This window comes from Homo sapiens, chromosome 10 (assembly GCF_000001405.40).
Source record: "Homo sapiens chromosome 10, GRCh38.p14 Primary Assembly".
In the NCBI taxonomy this organism is placed as follows: domain Eukaryota; kingdom Metazoa; phylum Chordata; class Mammalia; order Primates; family Hominidae; genus Homo; species Homo sapiens.
This window is the reverse complement of record NC_000010.11, coordinates 95,689,161-95,704,756: the sequence shown is the minus strand read 5'-3', so window position 1 is coordinate 95,704,756 and position 15,596 is coordinate 95,689,161. Positions and strand designations below refer to the sequence as shown.

Genomic DNA, 15,596 nt, shown 5'->3' with positions numbered 1-15,596 from the left:
TATTATCAGTGATTTTTGTCCAGCTTAAAAACCCTTTGCCTACCTCAGGATCGTATTATCTTACATCACGTTCTAGAAGCTTTATTTTTTCCCTAAGTATAAAATCTATGTAAAATTGATGTTTGGGTATAGGTAAGGTAGGAGTACAGATACACTGTCATCCCTATAAATATCCAATTGGTACAGCACAGTTTATTGACAAAATCACCCTTTCCTCACTGTACTGTAATATTACCTTTGTCACAAATCAAGTGACTACATATGTGTGGGTCTTTTTCTGGACACTATTCTTTTCCATTGATCTATTTGTTGATCTTGGAGCCAAAGCGATACCATTTTATTCTAACAATTATTTTATCTTAATAATAAGATGTGATATCTAGTAGGTAGAGGCCTTCTAGCCTTGTTCTTCTTTAAGATTCTCTTGGTATTTTTGACCTTTTGAAATTACACGTAAATTTGAAATCAGCATGTCAATTTTTACCCAAAAATGCTGAAATTTTTACTGGACTGTATGAATCTATACATGAATTTGGGAAGACTTCACATGTTTTCATTAATAAGTCTTTCTAGCCATGAATTTGGTGCAGCTCTCATTTAGGTTTTCTATTATTCCTCTCAGAAATATTATATATTTTGATATGTAGTTTTGTTTTGTTTTGTTTTTTTGACAGAGTCTTGCTCTGTTGCCAGGCTGGAGTGCAGTGGCGTGATCTCAGCTCACTGCAATCTCTGCCTCCCGGGTTCAAGCAATTCCCCTGCCTCAGCCTCCTGAGTAGCTGAGACTACAGGCATGAACCACCATGCCTGGCTAATTTTTTGTATTTTAGTAGAGATGGGGTTTCACCATGTTGTCCAGGCTGGTCATGAACTCCTGACCTCAGGGGATCCACCCACCTCAGCCTCGCAAAGTGCTGGGATTACAGGTGTGAGCCACTGCGCCCAGTCAGATCTTTTTTTTTTTTTTTTTTTTTTGAGACAGAGTCTCGCTCTGTCGCCTAGGCTGGAGTGCAGTGGCACGATCTCAGCTCACTGCAATCTCTGCCTCCTGGGTTCAAGTGATTCTCCTGCCTCAGCCTCCCGAGTGGCTGGGATTACAGGCGCCTGCCACCACGCCTGGCTAATTTTTGTATTTTCAGTAGAGACAGCGTTTCACCATGTTAGCCAGGCTGGCCTCAAACTCCTAACCTCAAGTGATCCACCTGCCTTGGCCTCCCAAAGTGCTTGGATTACAGGCGTGAGCCACCGCGCCCAGTGATATGTAAAGATCTTATACTATTTCAGATTTATTCCTGTGTATTTAGTGTTTCTTCAGGTAATTGTACATTTTATCATCTAAAAGTTTTACTTTATTATGGCTATAATATAGGAATACAATTGAATTTTCTATATTGACATTATATTTATTCTTTCCATTGCTCTTCATTTATTTCTGCATTTCCATGCATCCGTCTGAGATCATTTTCTCTTTAGCATGAAGAATTCCCTTTAGCAATTCTTTGTGTGGGTCTGTTAGTGGTAATTTTTCCCTCAGTTTTTGGTTTATAAATACATTTTTATCTTATCTTCATTTTTGAGGAATCTTTTGCTGGGTATACAATTTTAGGTTAGCTTCCTTAAAGATATTCTACTTTTTATAACTTCCATTATTTTTGTTGAAAAGTCAGGTGTAGGCCGGGCGCGGTGGCTCACACCTGTAATCCCAGCACTTTGGGAGCCCGAGGCGGGTGGATCACGAGGTGAGGAATTCAAAACCAGCCTGGCCAAGATGGTGAAACCCCATCTCTACTAAAAATAAAAAAAAAAATTTAGCCTGGCGTGGTGGCAGGTGCCTGTCATTCCCAGCTACTCTGGAGGCTGAGGCAGAGAATTGTGTGAACCCAGAGGCGGAGTTTGCAGTGAACCGAGATCGCACCATTGCACTCCAGCATGGGCGACAGAGTGAGACTCTGTTTCAAGAAAAGTCAGGTGTTATTGTTGCTGTTTTGAAGGTAATATGTCTTTTTAAGCTATACATTTTAAAGATTTTCTCTTTGTCAATGTTTGGGATTTGAGTAAGATATCCCCATGTATTATTTTCTTTTAAATTTATCTTGTTTGGGTTTTGTAGAGCTGGAATCTACAGATTGATAACATTCATTTATTTGGGAAAATATTCAGCCAAAATATCCTAATATATTGCTGTGTCTACCCCATTATCTCTCTCCTTTCCTTCTGGGGCCCAATTACATATCAGTATTTCTACCACTCTCCCCACATTGTCTCTTACATTCTTTTCTGAATTTTCAACACATTTTCCCATGTTTTATACTAGATCTTAACAAATAATCTAGTTTTTCAGTTCACTAATCCTGCCCTCTGCTGTGTTTAATCCACTGTTAAACCAATCTAAGAGTTCTCAATTTCCATTATTGTACTTTTCAGTTCTAGGATTTACATTTGATGCATTTTCATAGGTTTCAGTCTCTGGTGAAATTCTCCATCTTGTCAGCTATTTTACTGAATGTATATTAATCATATATATATTTTAAGTCTATACCAATTGTTATGACCTCTTATTGGGACCTAATATTATTAATTTGTGTTTTTTAATTTGATCTTCTAAACATTTGTCTGTTTATCTTTTCACATAACCAGCTATTGGTTTTATCAATTACTCTACTGATTTTTTATTTGTTTTTAATTTTTAATTTCCTCTATTATCTTTATGAATTCTCTTCTTTATCTTTTAATTTGTAATTTGTTTGCTTACTAAATTGTAAGATTAAGTTTAGGATTATTTTAAATATTTCTTTTTAAAAAATAAAAGTACTTGAAAATATAAAAGTTCTCTAAGTTCTATTGGCTTTGTTCTATGTATTCTAGTTGTTTAACTTTCATTTTTAATTAGTTTGTAATTTTTGTGTTTATTTTCTTTTAACTCAAGATTTATTCAAAAATGTGATTTTTTCCCTTAATTTCCAAGAGGATATTTTGCTGTCCTTTTATGTTAATTTCTAATTTTAATGCATTGTGGCAAGCAGAATGTACTATAAAATCTTTGCCTTTTTTCTCTTCATTGAGATTCCCTTTGTGGCATAATACATGGTCAATTTTTGTCAATGCTCCAAGTATGATTGAAAATAATTAGTACTATTTGCTTATTAGGTTCAAGTTCTACACCATCTATAGATAAATTGAGAATTTTAAAATCACTTATTTAAATCTTTTTCTCTATTTTTATTATTTAATCTATCTATTTATGGAAGAGGTATGATAAAAATCTTTTACTCTGATGGTGGATTTACCTAGTCTACTCTTTCCACTACTTATTTGCTTTTATATTTTAAAACAATGTCTTTAGATCCACAAGGATTCATTAATTTAACATCTTCTAGGTAGTCTGTAACTTTTATAAAGATGAAATATATATTGCCCTCAAATATAATTCACTTAGAATTTTATTTTTATCTTTATATTTTTAGAGATAAGGTCTCACTATGTTGCCCGGCTGGTCTTGAACTCCTGGTCTCAAGCAGTCCTTCTGCTTCAACTTCCCTTCCTGAGTAGCTGAAATTATAGGCACAAGCCACTGCACTAGGCTGGAATTCTATTTTGACTGTCATTACTATTACCACATCTGTTTCCTCCTTATTAGCATTTGCCTATTAAGATTTTATTTCTGGCTGGGCACGGTGGCTCAGGCCTGTAATCCCAGCACTTTGGGAGGCTGAGGCGGGCAGATCACCTGAGGCCAGGAGTTCGAGACCAGCCTGGCCAACATGGCAAAACCTCATCTCTACTAAAAATACAAAACATTAGCCAGGCGTGGTGGTGGGCACCTATAATCCCAGCTACTTGGGAAGCTGAGGCAGGAGAATTGCTTGAGCCAGGGAGGTGGAGGCTGCAGTGAGCCGAGATCATGCCACTGCACTCCAGCCTGGGCAACAAGAGCGAAACTTGGTCTCAAAAAAAAAAAAAAGAATATACTTCTTAATAGATGAATTAAACTTATTCATATTTATTGTAATTATTTATATATTTGGACTTATTTGTTTTATTGTTTTTCCATTTTCTTTTCTTTTTAATAGAGACAGAGATTTGCTCTATTGTCCAGGCTGGAGTGCAGTGCTGTGATCACAGGTCACTATAACCTCAATTTCCTGGGTGCAAGCGATCTTCCCAACTCAGCCTCTTGTGCAGCTAGGACTATAGGCACGTGCCACCATGCCCAGGTATTTTTTTTCATTTCTTGTAGGAACGGAGTCTCACTATGTTGCCCAGGTTGGTCTCAAACTCCTGGCCTCAAGTGATCCTCCAGCCTCAAGCGATCCTCCTGCTTCAGCCTCTCAAAGTGCTGAGACTACAGGTGTGAGTTCCTAATATTTCCTTAACCAATTTAATTCTTCCATTTTCTTTTTTTTTCCTGGAACTCATATTAATCAAACATTGGACTTGTAGATTTAATCCTCAGTGTCTCATATTTTCTATTTATTTATCTTTTTGTTCAATAGATTAGATGTCCTTATATTTATCTTCCAAAATTTTAAACAAAAAAGTTAATAGTTTTAATTTCCAAGAGCTTTCTCTTATTCTGATTGCTCCTTTGCCAAATATTCTGCTCTCATGAATGTTTTATTGATTACTTCTCAAATCTCTCTTATATTAACTAGTGTATCAATTTCTAGAAAGAATTCTCTATTTTTTCCTCAAAGAAAATATCTAGTTATAGGTCCTTTTGAGTACAAAGGCAAACTATTCCATATACCATATAGACCTTCGATGTATTTTCTTGATTTCCATCAACTTTACCTTTTATCTTCTCTCTTACTTGCTATCGCTAGTTCTGGCTACTCTGTGGTATTCTGCTGGAAGGCAGCTGTCTCCTTTGGCTGCAGTCCCTTTCCATGGATATTCTAGGCTGCTGCTTCTTCAGTCAATATCCTTCCAATTTCTTCAAAAATGTATGAAAAATCTTCCATACTGACCATGCTGATGGTCAACCACACCTCCTACTTTTTGTTTTTATAAATATATACCCTTTTAAGTCTTTTAACAGGTATTTTAATAAAATTTCAAAAGAGGGGTCAAATGTGCATCTTTCTTTCCTTCTTACCTCCTTTCTTTTCTTCTCTCTTTCTCTCTCTCAATCTCTCTCTTTCTTTTTTTTTGGACAGGATTTTGCTCTGTCACCCAGGCTGGAGTGCAGTGGCACAATCAAGGCTCACTGCAGCCTCAACCTCTTGGGCTCAAGTGATCCTCCCACCTCAGCCTCCTGGGTAGCTGGAACTACAGGTGTGCACTACCACACCTGGCTAATTTTTATTTTTTGTAGAGACAGGGTTTCACCATGTTGCCCAAGCTGGTCTTTAACTCCTGAACTTAGGCAATCACCCTGCCTCAGCCTCCCAAATTGCTGGGATTATAGGCATGAGCCACCACACTTGGCCCAAATGTGCATTTTTCTTCCATCTTTAATCACAATTCCTAGTTGATTCCTCTCTAATAGATGCAAAATTCTCATGTCTCTCTATAAATGTTAATTATATTTGTTCTAAACTATTTTTCTAACTTGTCCTTTTTAAATTTTTTTTTCCTTTTTCCTTTACTTAAGAGACTTTGTCACCCAGGGCAGAGTGCACTGGTGTGATCATGGCTCACTGCAGCCTCAACCTCCCTGGCTCAAGCGATCCTCCTGCTTCTGCTTCCCAAATGCTAGGATAACAGGTGTGAGCCACTGTACTCGGCCTTGGGTTTTGATGTTTCTTGAATATTATACCCTTTTTTTGTTTGCTGGGTTTTTTCTTTTTCAAATGTAGATCTTTTGAGTGTGTGTCCACCTTGGTAACTGAGATTCCCTGTTAGCCTATGCACAGGCGGGATCTGCTTATTGCATTCCACCTGCAGGGTTTTTGAAGAAGAAAATGGTAGATGTGGAGTTTGACAAGGTGTGTATCTTAGTCCATTTTCTGTTGCTTATAACAGAATACCTAAAAATGGGTAATTTATAAAGAAAAAAATTGATTTCTTACAGTTATGAAGCCTGGGAAGTCCAAAGTCAAAGAGGCATACCTGGTGAGAGCCATCTTGCCGGTGGGACTCCCTTGAGGTGGCCCTGGGCAGTGAGCCTGTGGAGAGTACCCTGACCTGTCCTCTGAAACTATTCTGTCCTCCTATGCCTCTGGGCCTGTGATGGGAGGGGCACCCTCTAAGATCTTTGAAATGCCTTTGGGATCTTTCTTCCCTTGTCTAAAGGAATGGTATCTGTCTCCCTTTTATCCAAACTAATCTCTTTAGCAAACAGTCACTGGGCTGCACCCTTGGTTTCCTCTGCTGAACGTGCTTTTTTACTCTTCATGTGGTCAGGCTGAGAGTTATCCAAATCCTTCCACTCTGCTTCCCTTTTCATGATAAATTCTACCTTTAAATTATTCCTTTGCTCCTGAATATCAGCATAAGTTGTCAAATGTAATCATGTAGCTCCTTCTATATTTGGCTTAGGAATTTCTTTTGCTAGATACCCTAGTTCATTAATCTCAAGTTTGGCCCTCCACAATTCCCTCAGGCATGGACACAGTTCAGCCAAGTTCTTTGCCAATTTATAACAAGGATGGCCTTTACTCCATTTTCCAATACCACCTTCCTCAGTTCCATCTCAAATCTCAGCAGAATGGCCTTTACTGTCCATATTTCTATCCGTATTCTGGTTACAATCATTTAACAAATCTCTAAGAAGTTCCAAATGTTCCCTTGTCTTTTTGTTTTCTGAGTCTCGCCAGAATCACCCTTAATACTCCATTCACTGAAATACAGTCACTTTATAGCCTGCTCCTTCAAACTCTTCCAGCCCCTGCTCATTACCTAGTTCCAAAGCTGCTTCCCCATTTTCAGGTATTTGTCATCAGCAAAATCCCACTTCTTGGTTCCAATTTTCTGTCTTCGTTCATTCTCTGTTGCTTATAACAGAATGCCTGAAACAGGATAAGTTATAAAGAAAAGGAATTCATTTCTTACAGTTGTGGAGGCTGGGAAGCCCAAGGTCAAGGGGGCATCTCTTAAGAACCTTCTTGCTGCTGGCAACTCTCTGCAGCATCCCAAGGCAGCACAGGGCATCACATGGTGAGGAAGCTGAGCGTGTTAACTTGCTAACTCAGGTCTCTGTTCCTCTTCTTGTAAAGCCACCAGTTCCTCTCTCATGACAACACATTAATCCATTAACCCGTGAATGGATTAGTCCATTCATGAAGGCAGAGACCTCATGATCAAATCACCTCTTAAAGGTCCCACCTCTCAATACTGCACATTGGGGATTAAGTTTTGAAATGAATTTTGGAGGAGACACGCAAACCTAGTAGTGGGCTAGGACCAGTCTCAACGTGTGGGGCCTCTCTCTTCCTCCTAAATGTCAGAAGCCATCCAGGGCACTGTCCTGCCTTTTCAGTAAAAGTATACATGGACTGCCTCCCGCCACCCCCACCACCACCTTTAGGGGAAAATTCTTCTGCTATCCACCGCAAGCACAAGTAGGGATAAGCTTGAGAGGCTGACCTGGCTCTTCCTACAGTGGTACTTCAATCAATAACTCATAGAATTGTCTAAGGGCCACTATTGATAACAAATACCTTCTTTCTGTGTGCTTAGAGCACTCCAAGAGTCACTTCCATTTCTGTATAAGGCCTTTATTATGCAACTGTTGTTTGTCCACCTTCAATTCCATCCCATGTGCCTTCTATTTTTCAAGTATTCTTATAATGTCTGGCCCATGAGAGCACACCTTCATGTATTTCAATTCTGGGCATGTTCATGTATGCACAAGTGTGTGTGTATCTAAGTTTTCTGTAATTTTCAGAGATTTTTGGAAAAGGGGGGAGAAGTGGGAAAAGGACAGAACTTGTTGTCTGCCATCTCAGTACAATCTCCTTGCTAAATTTCCAATTACATATTAAACTCTTTTAATCCCAAACACAGACAACTGCTAGTATCATATGATCTAATTTGGAAATCTCTGCTTCTGAGATGATATTATATGATCTCAATTTAAGACTTGGTCCCCATACTAAACCTGACATCTGCATGACACATGTGAATAAATTTCATTCTTCATCCACAAAATTATCTTTCAGATTTTAATACTGGATCTCAAAAGTATTGAGAGTTCTATATTACAGAGATTCTTACAAATACAAAACAGCAATACATGCCAGGCACGGTGGCTCATGCCTGTAATCCCAACACTTCGGGAGGCTGAGGCAGGCAGATCACTTGAGGTCAGGAGTTTGAGACCAGCTTAGCCAACATGGTGAAACTCCGTCTCTACTACAAATGCAAAAATTAGCTGGGTGTGGTGGGTACACCTGTAGTCCCAGCTACTAGGGAGGCTGAGGCAGGAAAGTTGCTTGAACCTGGGAGGTGGAGGTTGCAGTGAGCCAAGATGGCGCCACTGCACTCCAGCCTGGGTGACAGGGCAAGACTCTCTCAAATAAGTTAATTAATTAATTAATTAAATCAATAAATAAAACAAGTTTAAAAAACAGCAATACAAATAATCTTTTTGCTTAACTATAACAAAAGAGAAAAAAATAACTTTTCTAAAAAAAAGTTGTGTTAAAATTCAAAAATAAGAAAAAGCAACTCAAAAAGATCCGGAAACATTACTTCCTTATCACTCATCTCTAAAATTACTTCAACCAACAGTCTTTTGCCAACGCTAATAAATTCAGAAATAATTTAACACTATTTGAGAGTTGCCATTTAAATTCCAAACTTTGAAATCTAAAATAGTCTCTGATCAGATGTACAATGGAAATTTTATAGAAAGATCATTACATGGTAAATTGGTTGCAAAAAGAAGAAATTTTATAGAAAGAAATACAATCCTGAAATAAAATAAACTAAAAATATTCCTAAGGATTAATTCTAAAGAGTTCAACAAAACAATTTTTAATATATTTTTAAAATATTTAATGCACATCTAACATGTCCCAGACACTGTTCTAGGCATGGGGATATTTCAATGAACAAAACAGACAAAACTCACTATTTTTGGAATTTACATTCTAGTATATACATATGATCATATAATCTGAATAATATGAACTTGGCCTTTTCCTATAGAAATTACTAATAAGGTAAATAAATGTTTTAAGACCAAACACATATCTCCCATAGCTGTCTATCACACAACAACATAAAAACATATTTGAAAATATTTATAACACAGAGAGACTTTTAGCTACTGACTTCAAAACATTAGAAAATAAAGATCTTGTAAGAGAATTCAAGTAAAGTCAAATGTCCTAAAACTTACCTGAGTTAAATGATTCACTTGTAAAGGGAGGTGTTGACCAGATTTTAGGTAAGTGTACTAGATTTTAGATAACTCTTAACAGATGTTAATTTATATACTAAAACTAAATATCCAAAATAATCCAGATGTCAGAACCGTGGACATAGGAAAATACTGGGTCTAGGAGGAGCAATATTTTGATCATCTACAGTCCCACTGTACAATATGGTAGCTACTCACGTCTGTGGTTAACTTTGAATTAATTACAATTTAAAAATTAAAAATTCAGGCCAGGCACAGCGACTCACAGCTGTAATCCCAGCACTTTAGGAGGCCAAGGCGGGAGGGTCACTTGAGGTCAGGAATTCGAGACCAGCCTGGACAACATGGTGAAACCCCATCTCTACTAAAAATAAAAATAAAATTAGCCGGGCGTGGTGGCGCGTGCCTGTCATCCCAGCTACTCAGGAGGCTGAAACAGAAGAATCACCTGAATCCTAGAGGCAGAGGTTGCAGTGAGCTGAGATCACACCACTGCACTCCAGCCTGAGCGACAGAGCGAAACACCGTCTCAAAAAAAAAAAAAAAAAAAAAAATCAGCTCCTCAGTCACGCTAGCCACATTTCAAGCGCACAATTGCCACATAAGGCCGGTGACTACCATGCTGGACAGTGCAGCTACGGTACATTTCCAATACCGAAGGAAAGTCCCATGGCCCGCGCTGCTGTGGGGAATCGGAAGAGGCACGCCATTCCCGGGAAGAACAAAAACCTCCTAGAGAGGCTTAAAAAATTTGCCATTAACACGGGGAAAAAAATCTTCTATTTCCATTCCTCCATCTTATTTTCTCACCTCCTAGACAATGTTTCTTTTTTTTATTCTTTCTCTCCCTATTTTCTCACATTTTTCCTGCCCTTTTTTCTTATTTTTCTCTCACTGCTTTTTCTAACAACAAACATGCAGTCCATCTTTAATGATTTGATGCATTTCTTTAGGGTTTTCAAAATTTCTCAATGTTAAAATGTAAGGAGCTGAATGAACATTATTTCTAATGTGTTTTTTTTTTTTTTAAAAAAGCCATATTTAGAGGAGACTGTTTTTTAAGGTATGTGACCTTAGGTGTGTTTCCCCCACCTGAGAACATTATTCTTCCATAGAAAGGGTTTCTCACCGTTGGAATCCGGGGTGAAAAAAAATTTGCAATTCTAGTTCCGGCCTCTGGGGTTTCCTTGCACCGGAGGCCGGGCTCAGTCCTCTGGGCCGCGAAGTGGGCGCGGAACCTCTCGGTCCGCCGAACTCCTACCGCCACCTAGCGGAAGGAAGGCGCAAGGGCTTCTTCGTCACTGACGGTTGCCAGGCAACGGAGGCACGGCCCGGCCCGCGTTAAGGAGGAGGGCGCAGACCGAAGGACACTGAAAGAGCTGTAACAACCCCACTTTCGATTGGTTGAAGAGCTCTCAGCCTTCTCATGAGCCAATGAGAAGAGGCACGCGGATGGCGTCAGACGCTATGCGACTCCTCCCACCCACGCTCTGGCAATGCGATTGGAGACCGCGGAGGCCTACGTCGGACCCGGAGGCCCTGAATGCCCCATGCGCACCCCACAGCTCGCGCTCCTGCAAGTGTTCTTTCTGGTGTTCCCCGATGGCGTCCGGCCTCAGCCCTCTTCCTCCCCATCAGGGGCAGTGCCCACGTCTTTGGAGCTGCAGCGAGGGACGGATGGCGGAACCCTCCAGTCCCCTTCAGAGGCGACTGCAACTCGCCCGGCCGTGCCTGGACTCCCTACAGTGGTCCCTACTCTCGTGACTCCCTCGGCCCCTGGGAATAGGACTGTGGACCTCTTCCCAGGTGAGGGAAAACGTTGTGGGGGTGGAAACTTACTTCTGAGATCTAAAATTCTGTGAGCAAAGTTGAGCTGCCACAAAGCAGGAGTGGGGCTGTCGGAAGAAGGAGGGTGAGCACCTGGGAGAGTTTGGGGATCTTCATCCCACTCACTCTGTGTCGTACTTTCATAGTCTTACCGATCTGTGTCTGTGACTTGACTCCTGGAGCCTGCGATATAAATTGCTGCTGCGACAGGGACTGCTATCTTCTCCATCCGAGGACAGTTTTCTCCTTCTGCCTTCCAGGCAGCGTAAGGTGAGCTTCGTTGCTCAGACTGAATCCTAAAGGGGTTTGGGGCCTACAACGGGTAACATTTGGATGTAAGAAGAGTTAGTCTTTGTGCCTCCCACCCGTACTTCCACTCCTAGGACATTCCCTTGGTTTTTCCTAGGAATTGCCTTTTCTGATTCTCTAGAGCAGGGCTGGCCAGTAGAATAAGACCTTCGTGTCGTCCTATAGGTGCCCAAGGAGTCCTCTTTGGCATCATCTGGCCGATATTGCTGGGACACTCTTTTTTGGACCTGCCCCGCCCCTTCTAAATATATCTTCTCCCTCCTCTTTCCTCACAGGTCTTCAAGCTGGGTTTGTGTAGACAACTCTGTTATCTTCAGGAGTAATTCCCCGTTTCCTTCAAGAGTTTTCATGGATTCTAATGGAATCAGGCAGTTTTGTGTCCATGTGAACAACTGTGAGTAGAAACATGTTGGTTGTTCTCATTTTCTAACACAGGAGTGTTATATTTTGTCTTCCCTGGCCCACATTGGAAGAAGAATTGTCTTGGGCCACACGTAAAATACACTAACGATAGCTGATGAGTTAAAAACAACAACAAAAAAAAAGCAAAAAAAATGTCAAATGTTTTAAGAAAGTTTACAAATTTGTGTTGTTGGGCTGCATTCATAAGCCGTCCTGGGCTGCATGCGGCCGGTGGGTTGCAGGTTGGACAAGCTTGGTCTAACATTTATTGAGAATTGGCTTTTATTCTGGCCTTTTTTCCATTTCTTTTTTTTAAACTTTTTTTTTTTTTGTCCTTTGAATCTCTACGCCTCTTTCTGCCTCTTCTCTCTTATTACGGAATACATTTGCATTTTTGTTTTTTTTTGAGACGGAGCCTCCACCTATCGCCAGGAGTGCAGTGCAGTGGCACGATCTCAGCTCACTGCAACCTCCACCTCCCGGATTAAAGTGATTCTCCTGCCTTAGCTTCCCGAGTAGCTGGGACTATGGGTGTGTGCCACCATGACCAGCTAATTTTTGTATTTTTAGTAGAGACGGGGTTTTGCAATGTTGGCCAGGATGGTCTTGATCTCTTGACCTCATGGGCCACCCACCTCGACCCCCAAAGTGCTGGGATTACAGGTGTGAGCCACCGCGCCTGGCCACATTTGCAACTTTTTATGTTCTGTTGGCTATGGATCAGAAAACTCATAAAGAACTTTAATTTCAATCATTTTAATCATTCCTCTTAACTCAGATAATCACAGATAGACTATATTCCCCACTTACTACAATCTCCATGAGGGTACTAACTGAATCCCCAGTGCCTAACACATAGTAAGCACCAAATAATGTTTGAATGAACATCTTTGACAAATGAGTCTATGCCAACCTTATTTTCATTTCATGAGGCAACAGTGTAGGAGGAGCATTAGATTAGGATCTCAGTCCTGCCATTTCCTTACCAGCTATACAGACTTGGGCAAATCCCTTAGCATTTCCAGGCTCGTTTCTTCAACTGTAAAGTGAGAAATAATATCATTGGCTTTGTATATGAAAGCGCTCTACAACTGTAGAGTACAATAAAGATTAGAGGTTATTATTATTGGGGATGGTTAGTGGACTTAGAAATTTGCTGGTGATGGCTATAACATTTCTAAAGATATGAAGCTAATCTATCTTTTTAAAATGTCTATGAAGCAAAATAATGTTCCTGCACAAAATGGATTTAAATGTCTCTTGCATCCTGGAAGTCACCTCATCCTGATTTCATCTGACTGTTAATAAGAATTGCAAAACTATATTTGTCTCAGAAAACAACCAGTTTTTGGTTTTGGGGGACTTGAATTTCAAAGCAGTTATCAGAAGCCTTGTGGTTATTTAGATGGTAATAGGGTAAAGGGAACAAGATGAATACTTCATTTTCAGATAAGGTTGTGGCCTGACGCGGTGGCTCACTCCTGTAATCTTAGCACTTGGGAGGCTGAGGTGGGCAGATCACTTGAGGTCAGGAGTTTGAGACCAGCCTAACCAACATGGTGAAACCCTGTCTCTACTAAAAAAACAAAAAATTATCCAGGCATGGTAGTGGGCACCTGTAATCTCAGCTAGTTGGGAGGCTGAGGCAGGAGAATCATGTGAGCCTGGGAGGCTGAGATTGCACCACTGCACTCCAACCTGGGTAACAGAACGAGAGTCTGTCTCAAAAAAAGAAAGTTGTCTCTTCTTTTCCAAACATTTTACTGCCTTTTAAATCCAGCCTTATGATCATGCTCCAGGGTTATTGCAATGGCACCTACCTGGTGCTCCCTGCTTTTGATCCCCACTCCTGCCCCCGACACCATCCTGCACACTCCTTCGGGATCAGTGGATCTGAACTTTCTTTAAACACCTGAGGGAGGAATATGGCCACTTCCAATAGTAGTTATGGTTCATTACATCAATGAACTTTTTCCTGAACGAGGGTGGGGTGTACATTCATGTTTAGTATGAAAAAGGCAAAAATTTCCCTTTGGTTCTGATTATTTACCTACCTTCCTCACATATACACACATAGCATCTACACACAGTATACACAGTTGTGGAGAATCATTTCACTAGATAAATCTTTCCATAACATTGCATTATGTTGCTTCCTTACTGAGAAACCTCCATTACTTCCCACTATCCATAAAATAACATCCAGCTTCTTAGCCAGCCTGTCAGATCTCCTATTTGATCCAACTTAGTGTTCCTGGCTCTTTTAGCATTACTCTGTACTTGACCCTCTGCTTTGGCTGAACTCATCTACTCGTTGTCCTCAAGATATGCCCTGTATTTTTCCCAAGTTTGTATTTGCTTTTCTTTCTGACTCTATAGTTCCTTTTTCTCTTTGCATTTTGAAATACCTATATTTTCCACGAGTGTTTTCTTGCTCATCTTTTGGAAGTAAGCCCATCCTCAGAAGTTCTAAAGCATTTATTGTTTGAGTCACCGTCTTAGAACCTATAGGATTTATTATATTGTTATTAGTTTATGTAAACATCATGTCTTTCCAGGTAAATTGTCAACACCATGAAAGGATGGACCATATCTTTGTTTCCCCATGGTGCTTAGTATCTATTGGTACAGCCAGGCATGGTGGCTCATACCTGTAATCCAGCACTTTGGGAGGTCAGGGCAGGAGGATTGCATGAGCCCAGGAGTTCGAGAACAATCCTGGCAACATAGCAAGACCCAGTCTTTACAAAAAATAGGAAAATTAGCTGGGTGTGGTGGTGCATGCCTGTAGTGCCAGCTACTTGGGAGGCTGAGGTAGGATTGCTTGAGCCCAGGAGTTCGAGGCATGCAGTGATCATGCTACTATACTGCAGCCTGGGCAACAGAGTGAGATCCTATCTCAAAATAAAATAAAATTCAAAAAAATATGTATCTACGATAATGATCATCAGTAAATTACGTTTTTAGTCAAAGTCTGTACAGCATGATGGAGTGGGGAAAAAACACCAGGAATAGGAGATCTGCAATCTACTCTTGGCTCTGCAAGCTGGCCCTCTGGCTTTTTGCTACCCTTTTACCTCTGAGGATCCAAATTTCCTCATGGGATTAGGTCAGATGGTCTGTAGGCTTCCTTTGACATCTGAAATTGTAATAGAAATCTAAATACCTTTAAGCTCTTTTAGGTGTAATATATCATCTGTGATGGTAGAAATTTTAGGCAAAAATTCTACTTAGCCTATGTTTACCATCACTACCGCCAATATCTTTGCACTGAAGTGAGAGACAAAATGTAAACTTTCTCTTATTCATTTAAGCCATGAAAAAATAGCCAGATAGATATTTTGCCATCTCAGTTCACCTTCTTTCTTAGCTTAACTTTAACTTTTATTTCATGTGTAAAGATACAAATAACTGCATTTTACATGAGGTAAATATCTCCTCCATGTGGTTTTCAGGGTATGAGTTCCGAAGGAAATGTTTAAATAGCTCTTGGAAGCGTTAGGGTTTGAAGATTTCAGATCAGAGGTGGAAAGTGGCCCACAGAACAGCAGCATCAACATCACCTGTTTCAGAGCAATGCTTTTCAAATTCTAATATGCATACACATTACCTGGAGATCTTGTTAACATGAAGATGTTGACTGAGGTCTGCGGAGTGGCCTGAGAGTCTACATTTCTGAGAAGCTCTCAGGTGATGCTGGAGCTACTAATGTGTGTACCCCACTTTGAATAAGAAGGATCTAGGAGATGTG

General features: G+C 40.2%; 2 protein-coding genes across 13 annotated transcripts in view, besides 2 other annotated features; one reads left to right on the top strand and one right to left on the bottom strand.

Annotated features, from left to right (window-relative positions):
- ENTPD1 (ectonucleoside triphosphate diphosphohydrolase 1) overlaps nt 1–10,572 on the bottom strand; it is a 183,082-nt gene extending 172,510 nt beyond the window's left edge. For 2 of the 5 annotated variants that reach the window (XM_011540371.3, NM_001440934.1), the window contains exon 1: nt 6,994–7,123. The gene's annotated coding sequence lies outside the window, so the exon portion shown is untranslated. Of the gene's footprint in view, nt 1–6,840; nt 6,951–6,993; nt 7,124–10,436 lie in introns of those variants that run through there. The other 3 variants (NM_001440933.1, XM_047426024.1, XM_047426026.1) reach the window with 3 other exon arrangements.
- Nucleotides 9,870–10,371: an enhancer, noted in NCBI's record as "H3K27ac hESC enhancer chr10:97454143-97454644 (GRCh37/hg19 assembly coordinates)". NCBI's record gives its function as "activates a minimal SCP1, AML or CMV promoter by ChIP-STARR-seq in primed H9 embryonic stem cells {active_cell/tissue: H9 hESC(primed)}" and the evidence as "EXISTENCE:reporter gene assay evidence [ECO:0000049][PMID:30033119]".
- The window catches only part of TCTN3 (tectonic family member 3), a 30,527-nt gene continuing 25,760 nt past the window's right edge, over nt 10,830–15,596 (top strand). For all 8 annotated transcript variants that reach the window (NM_001143973.2, XM_047425042.1, NM_001410982.1 and 5 more), the window contains exons 1-3: nt 10,830–11,113; nt 11,281–11,404; nt 11,719–11,837. In NM_001143973.2, coding sequence (NP_001137445.1) covers nt 10,858–11,113; nt 11,281–11,404; nt 11,719–11,837 — 499 coding nt within the window. In that variant the 5' untranslated portion in view covers nt 10,830–10,857. The remainder of the gene's footprint in view (nt 11,114–11,280; nt 11,405–11,718; nt 11,838–15,596) is intronic.
- Nucleotides 10,846–11,125: an enhancer, noted in NCBI's record as "active region_3801". NCBI's record gives its function as "activates an Ori minimal core promoter by ATAC-STARR-seq in GM12878 lymphoblastoid cells {active_cell/tissue: GM12878}" and the evidence as "EXISTENCE:reporter gene assay evidence [ECO:0000049][PMID:35858748]".